The sequence below is a fragment of the Homo sapiens genome, chromosome 16, assembly GCF_000001405.40.
Source record: "Homo sapiens chromosome 16, GRCh38.p14 Primary Assembly".
NCBI classification, from domain to species: Eukaryota; Metazoa; Chordata; class Mammalia; order Primates; family Hominidae; genus Homo; species Homo sapiens.
The window spans coordinates 27,550,324-27,565,685 of record NC_000016.10 but is presented as its reverse complement, the minus strand read 5'-3'; the positions used below and the strand labels follow the sequence as shown (position 1 = coordinate 27,565,685).

Below are 15,362 nucleotides of genomic sequence, written 5' to 3'. Positions count from 1 at the left end.
CAGCCTCCAGAATAGCTGGCACTATAGGTATGTGCCACCACACTTGGCTAAAACTTACTTTTGTAGAGACAGGGGTCTCACTATGTTGCCCACGCTGGGCTCAAACTCCTGGATTCAAAGCAATCTCCCACCTTTGCCTTCCAAAGTGTTGGTATTACAGGCGTGAAGCAGCATGCCTGACTTTCCCATTATTTCTTTTCTTTCCTTTTTTTTTTTTTTTGAGACAGAGTCTCACTCTGTCGCCCAGGCTGGAGTGCAGTGGCGCAATCTCGCCTCACTGCAACCTCTGCCTCCGAGGTTCAAGTGATTCTCCCACCTCAGCCTCCCAAGTAGCTGGGATTACAGGGGTACGACATCATACCCAGCTAATTTTTGCATTTTTAACAGAGACGGGGTTTCACTATGTTGGCCAAGCTGGTCTCAAACTCCTGACATCAGGTGATCCACCCGCCTCGGCCTCCCAAAATGCTGGGATTACAGGTGTGAGCCACCGCGCCTGGACTCCTATTATTTCTTTATCTTGATGCCATGGACCCGTTTTGAGGGGACTTCTTTAAGGACATCCCACTAAAACAACAGAAATCTATTAGACAAAGAGCAGGACTGTTTGAAAGCCAGGTAGGGCCGGGCGTGGTGGCTCACACCTATAATCCCAGCACTTTGGGAGGCCGAGGCAGGCGGAACACCTGAGGTCAGAAGTTGAGACCAGCTTGGCTAACATGGTGAAACCCTGTCTCTACCAAAAATACAAAAAATTAGCCGGGTGTGGTGGCGCATGCCTTTAATCCCAGCTACTATGGAGGCTGAGGCAGGAGAATCGCTTGAACCCAGTAGACGGAGGTTGCAGTGAGCTGAGATTGCGCCATTACTCCAACTTGGGCAAGAAGAGTGAAACTCCGTCAAAAAAAAGCAAGCAAGCAAGCAAGCAAGCAAGCAAGCCAGGCAGACACCGGCTCTGCAACACCCCTTCCCTTCATTCCCCACGTGTGCCTCCAGGCTGATGTGGGCCTTTAAGTTACCTTCCTTTTTGGAAAGCCTGATATGATACCCCTGTCACTTTTCCTTTGCATTTTCTGTGTAACTTGACTTCTGGGGCCCAGTTTACTGCCAAATTACCTGGGATAAACAAGTCATGCTAAGATCTTCTTTTCCTTTCCAAACCCAAACAGCAGCTGGCATACAGAAATGCTTATTTATAACCTGCACACCGTTAACGCGCATTTGCTTGGTTTAGAAATGCTTAGCCATGTGTTCTTCTGGGAGCTTCATAATTAGGTAAGAGCCTGGGGACAATGCTGTGTGGCGGCTGAGAGGGGAGGCTCTGGGTCAGCCCGTCTCTCTTAGCTACTCATTACCCATTTGGGAGTCCTATTAGTCCTGACTCCATTTAAGTCTATTGTCAGGGTTAAGGCACTACATGTAAAACTCTCAGAACAGTGCCCTGCATACAGTAGGTACTTAGCAGTTATTAGTTCCCATAAACTGCTGACTATTCATGGATCTCAGCCAGTTCAACTGAACTTGGGCTTCCAAATAGATCTGGAACCTGCTCATTCCTATCATCCCGCTCTCCAAGCCAGGCCCCGTCAACTCCCCCTGGGCTTTTTCTTTTTTCTTTTTTCCAGACAGGGTCTTGCTCTGTTGCCCAGGCTGGAGTGCAGTGGGCATGATCATGGCTCACTGCAGTCTCGACCTACTGGGCTCAAGTGATCCTCCTGCCTCAGCCTCCTAAGTAGCTAGGACACAGGTATGTGCCATCATGGCCAGCTTTTTTTTTTTTTTTTTTTTTTTTTTAATTTACTAGAGATGAGGTCTCACTATGTTGCCTAGCTGGTCTCGAACTCCTGGGTTCAAGCAATTCTACCCATCTCAGCTTCCCAACGTGCTGGGATTAGAGGCATGAGCCACTGCATGTGACCAACTTTTTCAACAGCCACCTAGTAGGTATCCCTGCCTCCACTCTTGCCTGGATTTTCCTATGGCAGCCATATAAAAACCAGACCCTACCACTTGCCTGCCTGAACTTCTAATGTTTCCCTGTGCATGCAGAAAAGAATCCAAGCCTCATTCTGACCAGGCTCTGCATGGCCTGGCCCACGGGATATTTTGGACCTCTCCTCCCTCTTCCCTGCAGCCCTCTTCCCTGCAGTCTTTCTTCTTTGTATTTAGAGAAGGAACCTTGCTCTATTGCCCAGGCTGGACTGCAGTGGTGTGATCACAGCTCACTGCAGCCTCGACCTCCCAGGCTCAAGCGATACACCCAAGTGGACTCCTGCACAGATGGGACCACAGGCGTGCACCACTGCACCTAGTCCCACATCCCTCTTCTGCTCCGTAGACCCAAGACTCCTTCCTGCCTCAGGGCCTTAGCTCTCTCCTCTGGGCCAAGAGCACTCATGCCCTTGGTCTTATGAGGGATCCTTCTTAGCAATGAGATTTCAGCTTAAAACCACCCACCTCTCCAGAGGGACCCAGCCCTCAGTCCTCCGTCTTAACCTTCTGCATGGCACTTACTGACATTTTCTTATTAATATGTTTGTAGTCTGTCTCCCCAACTAAAAATAAGCCCCATGAAACCAGAGGCTGCTATCTGGCTTATCAGTGAATTCTCCACACCTGGAATAGTGCCTAGAATGGAGTGTGCATCAGTAGAAATTTCTGAAATGGATGAACGAGTAAATGACCGAATTTCTGAATAGACAATGCTGAAAGGGACAGAAGGCATGACCGTGTTCTGCAGTAGAGATGTCATCTGCTCTTGCAATGTGCTTTCCTGATCCCTTCCCCCTGCTCTTTCTGGGATGGTGAAACGAAATATGACAAAGTCAGTTTAATACCCCATTGAAGATAATTGGAAAATATTGATTTTTTTTCCATTTGAAATAGTAAAGATAAGTAAATGCTACACTTCTGTAATCTAATCAGCGGCTTATGTGACAACACGCTTCCCAGGCTGAAATATATTTCAGTCTATCTCTGTATCCATCAGACAAGCTCCTAAACCCATTCCCACTCTGGCACTCCAACCAAGTCTCATCCAGCCATTCCAGTTCCCCATAGTGTATGAGTGAAGACTTTGCACTTGTGAAAACGTGCATGGGTATGTATGTGTAACCTAATTAAAGTGTCTTCTGAGTATCTGCACCTCCCAAAAATGATCTGCCAATCTGCCTTGAGAAACGTTGGAAGTAGCTCATGAGATCTCCCAGAATCCTAAGGAAAGAGATGTGTTCCTTCTCCACATAGCTAATTTGTACTGAGAGTCTACCAAGCACCAGGCCCTGTTCTAAGGGTTTTAGATGGATGAATTCATTTGATTCTCCTAGCAGCCTTATGGGAAGGTCCTATTATTATTATCACCATTATTATTTTTTTGAGATAGGGTCTCACTCTGTCGGCCAGGCTGGAGTCAAAGTGGTGTGGTCATGGCTCACCATAATAACTTCAACCTTCTGGGCTTCAGTGATCCGCCCACCTCAGCCTCCCAAGGAGCTGGGACTACAGGCATGTGCCACCAAGCCCAGCTAATTTATAACATTTTTTGGTAAAGCCGGGGTCTGCCATATTGCCCAGGATGGTCTCAAACTCCTGAGTTCAAGCAGTCCTCCTGCATCAGTCTCCCAAAGTACAGGGATTACAGGCATGAGCCACTGCCCCTGGCTGACAACAGATTTCTTTATGAAACTGAAGAATATTCTTGGGTATGCAATGTGTATTTAGGTGTTGGAAACTGACACAAGCAGCATAATGAAATAAACTCTGGCCAGGACAGTCATTTACATTACCTGGCCCCTGCAGGCCTCTAAATGTGTGACCCCTGCAAGGGAACTTCACGGTTCTAAGATACTTCAGAGTCCCCAAAATGAGACCCTAGGCGACATCTGTCAAGTTCCTTCCAACTCTAACTTTTGTGACATTAGAGAGTTCATGAAATGTTTCTAAATAGTTTGGGACTCGTTACAGGGAAAACACACACACACATACACACACACCACACACTGCATTGCAGGTTCACTTAGAGTTTAGAAAAATGTGGTGGGCCCTGCAGGTAACCAGATATCTGTAGCGCTCTGACTTCCTGCCAGGCGCTACGTTTACCCATAACTTTCCTCTCCCCAAAGGACATGTTAAATCAGAGGGTCCACTGCTAAGGGTGGTCAAGGTAGCAGTGGGCTCTGAAGTGAAGTGGGAGCTGGGAGAGAAAGTGACTTCACTAGGAAACGAAATTGGGCCAGGACAGGAATGCTAATGGGAGAGCAGAGGAAGCAGCTGCGGGGAACAGGAAAGGAAGCTAGGAGCGGGAATAGTATGAGGACTGGGTTGTCTGGGGAAACCATATGTGTCCACTAGAGAAAAAGGACCAGGCCAGGCAAAGTGGCCCACGCCTGTAATCCCAACACTTTGGGAGGCCGATGCAGGTGGATTATCTAAGATCAGGAGTTCAAGACCGGCCTGACCAATATGGTGAAACCCCGTCCCTACTGAAAAAAAAAAAAAAATACAAAAATTAGACAGGCATGGTGGTGGGCGCCTGTAGTCCCAGCTACTTGGGAGGCTAAGACAGGAGAATTGTTTGAACCCAGGAGGCGGAGGTTGCAGTGAGCCAAGATCACACCACTGCACTCCAGCCTGGGTGACACAGCGAGACTCTGTCTTGAAAAAAAAGAAAAAAAAAAGACAAAAAGGATGCAGCCACGGTCCCTGGAAGCTTGGCCTGGAAGCTTGGCTACAAGGCCCTTTCCTTTGTCTACTTTATGGAGAATGTCCAGCAATTCACTAGGGAACAAATCCGTTAATCTCTTTCCTGGTTACAGTGTCAACCCAGCAAACACTCATGGGATCTGCCTGTGCCAGTCCTTGTGCCAGGTGCTGGGCATACAAAGGAAAGAAGTGAGTCTCTACCCTCAAAGAGGGAGAAAAGCATAGAGCTCGTCCCTGTGATACAACACAATGCCTGACTAGCTATGGGGTCCTGCCATGGGGGAGTAGCTAATTCTGCAGGTGGTGCTGGTCACTGCAATTTACAGTGTGGAAGTGACTTGAAAGAAGGGCACAGCTGGCAGGGAACACAGCACAGGCAAGGCAGCGAGGTGCGAAAGAAGACGGTGTACTCCAGAGATGGCCAACCTCCCCAAGTGTCTCGGGCTGGCATTGAAATCTCAGATGCCTGCAAAGGAGGCCAATATGATCAATGGAAGAAGTGAGCACCAGATGACAGGTAACACCAGCCAGAAGGGGTCATCAGCACATGTCCCAGGTCAAGGGGGTGGCCACTGTTCAGTGCTAGAGGACCAGAGCTACGTGACAAGAAAGTGCTGAGGGCCCAAAGCACCCTGTTTATCAAGAGACTGAGAAGTCCAGGTTCTTATGTGAAATTACCTTTTTTTTTTTTTTTTTTTTTTCTGAGACAGAGTCTCACTCTATAGCCCAGGCTGGACTGCAGTGGCGCGATCTCAGCTCACTGCAACCTCTGCCTCCCAGGTTCAAGCGATTCTCCTGCCTCAGCCTCCTGAATAGCTGGGATTACAGGCACCCGCCACCACGCCCGGCTAATTTTTGTATTTTTAGTGGAGACGGGGTTTCACCATGTTGGCCAGGCTAGTCTTGAACTCCTGACCTCGTGATCTGCCCGCCTCAGTCTCCCAAAGTGTTGGGATTGCAGGCGTGAGCCACCACACCTGGATTTTTTATTTATTTATTTTTTTTATACAGAGTCTCGCTCTGTCGCCCAGGCTGGTGTGCAGTGGCGCGATCTAGGCTCACTGCAACCTTTGCCTCCTGGATTCAAATGATTCTCCCACCTCAGTCTCCCAGGAAGCTGGGATTATAGGCAGGTGCCACCATGCCTGGCTAATTTCTGTATTTTTACTAGAGACGGGGTTTCACCATGTTGGCCAGGCTGTTCTCAAACTTCTGACCTCAAGTGATCCGCCTGCCTCGGCCTCCCAAAGTGCTGAGATTATAGGTATGAGCCACCATGACCTTACTATTTTTTTTTTTTTTTTGAGACAGGGTCTTGCTCTGTTGCCCAGGCTAGAGTGCAGTGGCATGATCACAGCTCACTGTAGTCTCAACCTCCTGGGCTAAGGTGATCCCACCTCAGCCTCCCGAGTAGCTGAAACCACAGGCATGTGTCAACATGCCCAAATAATTTTTAACAATTTTTTGTAGAGGTGGGGTCTCACCGTGTTGCCCAGGCTGATCTCAAACTCCTGGGCTCAACTGATCCTCCTGCCTCAGCCTCCCAAAGTGCTAGGACTACAGGCATGAGCCACCATGCCTGGCCTGAAATCACTATTTTTGAATATGGAAAAACATATTGATAGACACTGTACAGCGCAGTGTAAAACCTCTGGGTGTGAGAGCAGGTAGGCAAGTGTCTAAAAAGATGAGACTGGAGGGGAGCTAATTCCCCAGAGAAATTCTATACTTCAAGGTGATATGATCCATAGGGCAATTGTTAAAGCTGCAAAGCCCCATGGGACATCAGTAGTCACACTTTCTTACTTTTACATAAAGTGCTCTGCAAACAGTTTCAAGTTCTTCCTTGCAACCAACCACATTGCTCTGCATTAGCCTACTCCCATTTGGAAAGAGAGAAGCAGTCATGGGACCAGATGCTGAGGGAGCTGGGAATGTAGTCAAAACGGGTACCTTTCAAAATGTATATTATTCCATCAGCCCAGTGGCCAGTTCTTCCCCACAGACTCACTCTCCAGGTGTGAGAACCTGGCCACACACTGGCAGTAACAAGGCTGAAATGGGCCTTCCATAACATACTACCAAGTGTAGACCTTATTCGACTGAGTCCTGGCTCTGCTACCTACTAGGTGTGTGGTATAAAACAGACACAATCACAGTATCCCATTGAGCTGTCTCAGGAATCAAATCAGATCTGCCACGGCAACAGTCAGCAAACGTTTCCTGTACAGGCCCAGATAGTAAATATTTTTGGCCCGTGGGCCACATAAGTCTCTTTTACAACTACTCAACTCTGCAAGAAAACAGCCATGGACTATATGTATGTGAAAGGGTGCTGCTGCATTCCAATAAAACTTTATTTACAATAGCAGGCAGTGGGCCACACTGCTTTGGGAAAGGGGAAGACCTCTACAAATATTATCTTCTAAGGACTCCCATGTTGAAATGTAGTCATCTGTTTATGTCTGCTTTCTCACCATACTATGAAGTTTCTAAAGGCAGATAATATATTCCCTTTTTTTCAGATTAAAACAAAAAGAAACTGGGCATGGTGACTCATGCCTGTAATCCCAGCATTTTGGGAGGCCAAGGCAGGCAGATCACTTGAGGTCAGGAGTTCGAAACCAGCCTGGCCAACATATGAAACCCCATCCCTACTAAAAATACAAAAATTAGCCAGGTGTGGTGGCACACACCTGTAATCCCAGCTACTTAGGAGGCTGAGGCAGGAGAATCACTGGAACCCAGGAGGCAGAGGCTGTAGTGAGCTGAGATCGCACCACTGCACTCCAGCCTGGGTGAGAGAACAAGACTCTATCTAAAAACAAAAAAACAAACAAAAAGAATAAGTATAGTCCAGTATGGCATACAAGGAAGTCCACAGGAGTTTTCACAACTGTACAAGTTAATACTAAAGTAGAATTCTAAGTACAAATGCTGACAGGCCTAGGAGTGACAGACACAATGAGAGAAGCCAGTCATTAGACAGGCCCACCTCCCTCTTAAAGGGCAAAGTCTCCACTTAACTCGGGTGGTGGGACAATTGTTGCCATGCAGAATTCTGATTTGGTGTTAACAGACTTTATTGATATTTTCAAGAAAATACCACAATCAGGTATTTATAAGAAATCTGCTCATTTTTCAATGTTGACAACTAATTCAAAAATTTAAAAAACAAAACATTATGAGCCAAATAAACATGCATGTGGGCTGTTTCAGCCCACTTGTGCAAGCTCTGATATAAAGAATTCATTTCCAGCCAGGCATAGTGGCTCATGCCTGTAATCTTAGCAACTTGGGAGGCCAAGGTGGGAGGATCACTTGAGCTCAGGAGATGGAGACCAGCCTGGACAACATAGCAAGACCCCCATCTCCACAAAAAATAAAAAATTAGCTGGGCATGGTGGCACACACCTGTAGTCCCAGCTACTTGGACAGCTGACATGGGACGATCGCTTGAGCCAGGAGATGGACGCACCAGTGAGTTATCTCACCATTGCACTCCAGCCTGGGCAACAGAGCAAGACTCTGTCTCAAAAAAAAAAAAAAAAAAATCCACACCTGTAACCGTAGCACTTTAGGAGGCCAAGGGGTAGGGTTGGATCACCTAAGGTCAGGAGTTCGAGACCAGCCTGGGCAACATGGTGAAACCCCGTCTGTACTAAAAATGCAAAAATTAGTTGGGCGTGGTGGCATGTGCCTGTAATCCCAGCTACCCAGGAGGCTGAGGCAGCAGAATCACTGGAACTCGGGAGGCGGAGGATGCAGTAAGCCAAGATCGCGCCACTGTACTCCAGCCTGGGCTACAAAGTGAGACTCCACCTCAAAAAAAAAAAAAAAAATCAACTTCACAGAAAAATGTCAAGAATAGTACAATGAATTCCCATATCGCCTTCACCTGGATTCAATCTTACTCATTTTGGCATCTCTGAATTCCAATGCACGGAAGGCACTGAAATGTTGAATCATGGAATGAATCTCATAAGGAAAAATAAGCAAAACATTATGGGCCGACTTCCTATAAGTTAAAGTGACAGGAGGAACGAACTCTGAAAAAATCTGAGAGAAAAGAAACTAATCAGATAGAAGGATTGGAACAAGAAGAAAACAGAACAGACACAAAGAGTCTATGGGATGTATGTTTATTTCACCTGCTGAATGCTTGCTTTGTTTTATTGCATTTGATTGTTATTTTATTATTTTTTTTGCTGGGTTTAAGTAGTAAGAGAAACAGACAAATCACCAAGAAGCCAGGTAAATACCACACAAGGACAGGAGAGACCAGCTAAACCGATGGTGTACTCTCAGCAAAACCTTCCTAATTCAACCATCACCTGTTTGCAGTCTGGGATTATTTGGACAAGTGAGGCTAAATATCATCTTGGCATTATTAATTATTTGAGAAAGTTTGCTAAGCAAATGAACAGTATAAACAAGGGAAATGTTGAATATTTGCTCTAGGGGAGCAGTGAAAAGCAAATGAACAACTTCCAAATCCTTTCTAATTATATCAATGTGCTGAACTTTTGTCTAATTATTATGTTCCTTGAAAATGAAATAGAATTTTTTTTCCTAAACCATTTCATATTTTTAAAGTACTGGGGAAAATTCAACTTTAACAGAAAGGCGAACATTTTCATAGGCAGAAAACACACACTGCCAATGTACCTTCATGGAATAAAAAATGTCAAACATTGGATTTTCTCTTAAGCAAAGAGTGTGCTAATTACAAAAGTTATCATCTGCTAGAGAGCTTCATCAGCACGCTTCCCTCTTCTGTCAACTGTGTGGAATAAGTCTGCCTATTTGCAGATAATGATAACAACAGCTACTATATAGGAACTTTTTTTTTTTTTTTGAGACAGAGTCTCACTCACTGGCCCAGGCTAGAGTGCGGTGGTGCAATCTCAGCTCACTGCAACCTCCGCCTCCCAGGTTCAAGCAATTCTCTGCCTCAGCCTCCCGAGTATCTGGGATTACAGGCACCCGCCACCACACCTGGCTAATTTTTGTATTTTTAGTAGAGACAGGATTTCACCATCTTGGCCAGGCTGGTCTTGAACTCCTGACCTCGTGATCCACCCATCTCAGCCTCCCAAAGTCAGGCATGAGCCACCGCGCCTGGCTGTAGGAACTTTTTTTTTTTTTGAGACGGAGTTTCGCTCTTGTTGCCCAGGCTGGAGTGCAATGGCGCAATCTCGGCTCACCACAACCTCTGCCTCCCAGATTCAAGCGATTCTCCTGCCTCAGCCCCCCAAGTGGCTGGGATTACAGGCATGCACCATCACACCCAGCTAATTTTGCATTTTTTTAGTAGAGACAGGGTTTCTCCATGTTGGTCAGGCTGGTCTCGAACTTCTGATCTCAGGTGATCTGCCTGCCTCGGCCTTCCAAAGTACTGGGATTACAGGCGTGAGCCACCGCGCCCAGCCAGGAACATTTTTTTATATGCCAGACTTGATGCATTGTTTCATTGAAGCCACAAAACAAGGTAGGCTTCATTATCATGTCCATTTTACTGACAGGAAAACCAAGGCTCAGAGAGGTCAAAGTGTACAGCAGAGATTCAAATCCAGGGCTATCTGGCCCCCAAACCTAAGGACATTACACTGCATCACAGAAACAGATAGGACCTGCCCAAAGTCAAAATCAAAAGGCCAGGGAAAGGGTTGTGAAAAGCTATGGTGATTAAGACATGCCGAATAAACTAAATTACAGTCCAGTTTGGAGGGCATCTGCTAGACATTTAAGCTTTTGTGAACGTAGGAAGTAAACATCTTTCTAATAAGGCCAGGCTTGGCTTACCTAGTTAGTTAGAATCACAATAAGGTATGCTTCACTTTATCCAATAAATAGGTATGTGCCTATAAAATTATGTATAAATCAGGGCCAGGTGCGGTGGCTCATGGCTATAATCCCAGCACTTTGGGAGGCTGAGGCAGGTGGATAACCTGAGGTCAGGAGTTCGAGACCAGCCTGACCAACATGGTGAAACCCCATCTCTACTAACAAAAAACAAAAAAGTTAGCCAGGCGTGGTGGCGTGCACCTGTAATCCCAGCTACTCAGGAGGCTGAGGCAAGAGAATCGCTTGAACCTGGGAGGCAGAGGTTGCAGTGAGCCAAGATCACGCCACTGTACTACAGCCTGGGTGACAGGGCGAGACTCTGTCTCAAAAAAAAAAAAAAAAAAAAAAGTGTAAATCAAAGTTTAAAAAATCAGAACAGAAAATGGGATTCTTTGGAGGTCAAATATGACCCTAGGGTAAACACTTCTGAGAATAAATTTTTCCTTTTGGGGGCCAATCTGAAAATGAACATACCCCTCTACTAGGCTACAATAACGTCCTAAGACTGCAAGTACAGAGATGCTCATTAGAAGGCACAAAGCAGCCTTCCTGAAAATGGACTGTAGCAATGTTTCTCAAAGGTGCAGATCCTGGGAGAAGGAGGGGTCCACAAAGACAAAAGTATTTTAATCATAATTTGAAGAGTATTTCACTGTGTTGAATTTTTTTTCTTTTGAGACAGTCTCACTCTGTTGCCCAGGCTGCAATACAGTGGCATGATCTTGGCTCACTGCAACCTCTGCCTCCTGGGTTCAAGCGATTCTCTTGCCTCAGCCTCCCCCAAGTAGCTGGGACCACAGTTATGTGCCACCATGCCCAGCTAATTTTTGTATTTTTAGTAGAGACAGGGTTTCACCATGTTGGCCAGGCTAGTCTCAAACTCCCGACCTCAGGTGATCGCCCACCTTGGCCTCTCAAAGTGCTGGGATTACAGGCGTGAGCCACCCCATCTGGCTGTGTTGACATTTGTACTTATGACACAAAGCAATGGTGGGTAAAACTGCTTGCAGTCTGAATCAAGGCAATGTTACCACAATGTACTAGAAACCTTCCCTCCTTCCTTCCTCCCTCCCTTCTTCCATCCCTCCCTTCTTTCCTCCTTCCTTTCTCTCTCCTCTCCCTCCCTTCTTTCCTTCCTTCCTTTCTCTCTCCTCTCTCCCCCCACCCCACCCCCTGCTCTCTCTCTCTCTAGACAAGGTCTTTTTGCCCAGGCTGGAGTGCAGTGGCACAGTCATGGCTCACTGTAGCCTCAACCTCCTAAGCTCAACTGATCCTGAGTGGCTGGGACTACAGGCACGAGCCACTATACCTGTCTAATTTTTTACTTTTTACAGAGATGGGGTCTCACTAAGTTGCCCAGGCTGGTCTTGACCTCCTGGGCTCAAGTGATCCCCACACCTCAGTCTCCTTAGCAGCTAGAACCACAGGTGCATGCTACCATGCCTGACTATTATTTATTTATTTATTTATTTTATTTATTTATTTAGTAGAGATGGAGTCTCACTATGTTGACGAAGCTGGTCTTGAATTTCTGGGCTGAAGAGATCCTCTTGTCTTGGCCTCCCAAAGCGGTGGGACTATAGGCGTGAGCCACTGAACCCAACCATCAGGACATTCTTAAATAAAAATAATTGTTTGTTTGTTTTAAATGTGAGTACATGGCAGTAAATAAAATAATAGACAAATTTTGGTTATTCAGTCTTGGGAATTTGGCAGAAATTTTCTCAAATATGAAATAAGTGAGTCTGTCACTTCAAGGAAACAGCTGACAATATTTGCTGCCAATGTTAAAATTCAAGCTGTCAAGTGAAAACAAGTTGAAAACTTGTTTCCATTACCTTGAGTTTGATAGTTTCCTAATACTTAAACTCCTTTTTAAAATGAAATAGGTGGTGATATTAACAAATGTGATTTTTTAAATACCGTATAATGGCATCTGAAAGGTCAACGTTTAGATTTGCATAACTCACTGAACCAACATTTTCTAAACGACCAATGGCTGATGTTATAAAACCATATATGGGTAAAGCAGCCAATGAAAGGGCAAGATAGACCAATGGATTTTAATGTAACACAGTATAAAAGTTCACCTATAAGGCTTCAGATGACACACTGTGACTAACATTTAAGAAACTGCCACTTGTGGCCTGGCATGGTTCTTCATGCCTGTAATCCCAGCACTTTGGGAGGCCAAGGCGGGCGGATCACCTGAGGTTGGCAGTTTGAGACCAGCCTGACCAACATAGAGAAACCCCATCTCTACTAAAAGTACAAAATTAGCTGAGCGTGGTGGCACATGCCTGTAATCCCAGCTACTTGGGAGGCTGAGGCAGGAGAATCGCTTGAACCCGGGAGGCGGAGGTTGCGGTGAGCCGAGATCAGGCCATTGCACTCCAGCCTGGGCAACGACGGCAAAACTCCCGTCTCAAAAAAAAAAAAAAAAAAAAAAAACTGCCACTTGCAGGCCAGGCATGGTGGCTCACGTCTGTAATCCCAGCACTTTGGGAAATGGAGGCAGGCTGATCACCTGAGGTCAGGAGTTTGCGACCAGCTGGCCAACATGGGGAAACCCCATGTCTACTAAAAATAAAAAAAATTAGCTGGGCATGGTGGTTCACACCTGTGATCCCAGCTACTCGGGAGGTTGAGGCAGGAGAATCGCTTGAACCCAGCAGGCAGAGGTTGCAGTGAGCTGAGATCGTGCCACTGCACTCCAGCCTGGGCGACAGTGAGACTTTTTCTCAAAAAAAAAAAAAAAAAGAAAAAAGAAACTGGCATTTGCTAAATTTTGTATAGTATGAAAGGAGAGTGTCTACAGTTATCTGAAAAGGCAATTAAAATGTTTCTCTCTGCTCCAATTATATATTTGTATGAGGCCAAATTTTCTTCATACACACCAGCCAAAACAGCATAACAAAAAACAGTTTGAATCCTGAAGCAGAAATGAGAGTAGTTTTTTCTATTTCTATTGAATAAACTTGAAAAAACATAAAATAATGCTACTCTTCCTATTAATTTTTTGGAGGCAAATGTAATTGTTTTCCATTAAAAATATTATTTATGTTCAGAAGTAATGGGTTTATTGTTGTTGGAGTTTTTTTGAGACAGGGTCTAGCTATGTTGCCCAGGCTGGTCTTGAACTCCTGAGCTCAAGCAATCCACCCACTTCAGCCTCCCAAACTGCTGGGATCACAGGTGTGAGGCACTGCACATGGCCAATTATTATTATGATTATTATGAGCCACTGCACCTGGCCAATTATTATTATTATTATTGGGTTTTTTTGAGACAGAGTCTCGCCCTGTTGCCCAGGCTGGAGTGCAGTGGCAAGATCTCGGCTTCAAATGATTCTCCTGCCTCAGCCTTCCAAGTAGCTGGGATTACAGACATGTGTCACCACGTCCGGCTAAGTTTTAGTAGAGACAAGGTTTCACCATGTTGGCCAGGCTGGTCTCGAACTCCTGACCTCAAGTGATCCACCTGCCTTGGCCTTCCAGAGTGCTAGGATTACAGGCACGAGTCCATGCCCGGCCCAATTTTTATTATTTTTAAAGGAACTAATTAATGGACATCTTAAGATTTTCCCAGTTTAAATCTTCGATATGGTAAATATCATAAATATAAATAAACAAAGCTCTTTGAGGTAAGAGCATACAGGGGTCCCAAGGCTTAAAAGGTTTGAGGACTGATGTTCTATAGCAACATTACATTGACCTTTCCAGAAGGCAAAATGGTAAAGCACATTTTATAGTACCTCTAAAGTACAAAGGGAAAAGATATATTTTAAGCATATGACAGAATGTTCAATTAAAAACATTTTCTCCACACTACATTCAGTGAATATAAAAAGAATGTGGATTCCCCAGGAACAAATTCCCGAGAAGTGAGGGACAGTGCTGTAATTAGAAAAATGATCTGGACTCTAGCCCAGACCCTACCAGTCTCTCTAGACTTTAGTCTTCCCATCTGCAAAGTGAGATATCAGAATAGCCTATTTTCCATTTGCTTCCAATTGTCAATACCATGACTCTAATCAGGGATCCCTAAATGGGGGCCCACAAGCTGTCTCTGGCCTTCAGAGTGACTGGCCAACCCTGTTTTTGAGAAGTACCCCAAGAGGACAATCAGCTGGTGCTTGGTGAGCAGCTTTCCTTTCAGGTGAGGAATTGATTTTCAGTTACAGCCTCAATCCGGCTCACTAGACTCTCCTCTGCAGACATCTGCATTTACAACCTCTGGAATAAAGGGACCCTCAAAACCGGTCCAAATCTCAAGCTCCATAATTCAGCTCCAGAGACAGGGTGTCTGGGTTTCTCACTCACTCTGCTACATGCTGGTTGTTTGACTTTGGGCAAGTTCCTTAACACCTCTGAGCCTCAGTTTCATCATCTGTAAAATGGAACAACGCTGAACTCAAAAGGCTGGTATGAAGCTTAGCGAGGTGTTGCCCAAGAGTACTTACAGAGTTCTTGGTACTGGAAAGCACTTTGTTAAAGGGAGCTATTATTATTAACGCCAAGGCACAGAAAGGGAGTATTTCCTAAACTCCCTTCACCCCCCACACCAATTCCCTTTCCCAGCACCTGACGATTGCACTCCCACGATCAAGCTTGTTTTCATATCAACTCCCAAATCCGACAGTTCCACATCCCAACATTCACAAGACCCTCCTCAGACCTCTACTTCTCCTTCCCCACCCTACATCCCTTCACTGAGCTCCCGGCCAGTACCGGTTTCCTTCACGACCACAGCCGAGCAGAATGGTCACAGCACTGACCACTCCCCCAGGCTCTCCTCCGCGTTCCAGACCACTA

General features: G+C 45.7%; 1 protein-coding gene across 17 annotated transcripts in view; it reads right to left on the bottom strand.

The window, feature by feature from the left end:
• Positions 1–15,362, bottom strand: part of KATNIP (katanin interacting protein) — a 230,201-nt gene that overhangs the window by 214,659 nt on the left and 180 nt on the right. The window contains exon 1 of one of the 17 annotated variants that reach the window (XM_011545773.3): positions 12,053–12,072. The exons of the other annotated variants lie outside the window; for them this stretch is intronic. The gene's annotated coding sequence lies outside the window, so the exon portion shown is untranslated. Of the gene's footprint in view, positions 1–12,052; positions 12,073–15,362 lie in introns of those variants that run through there. 17 annotated transcript variants of the gene reach the window in all.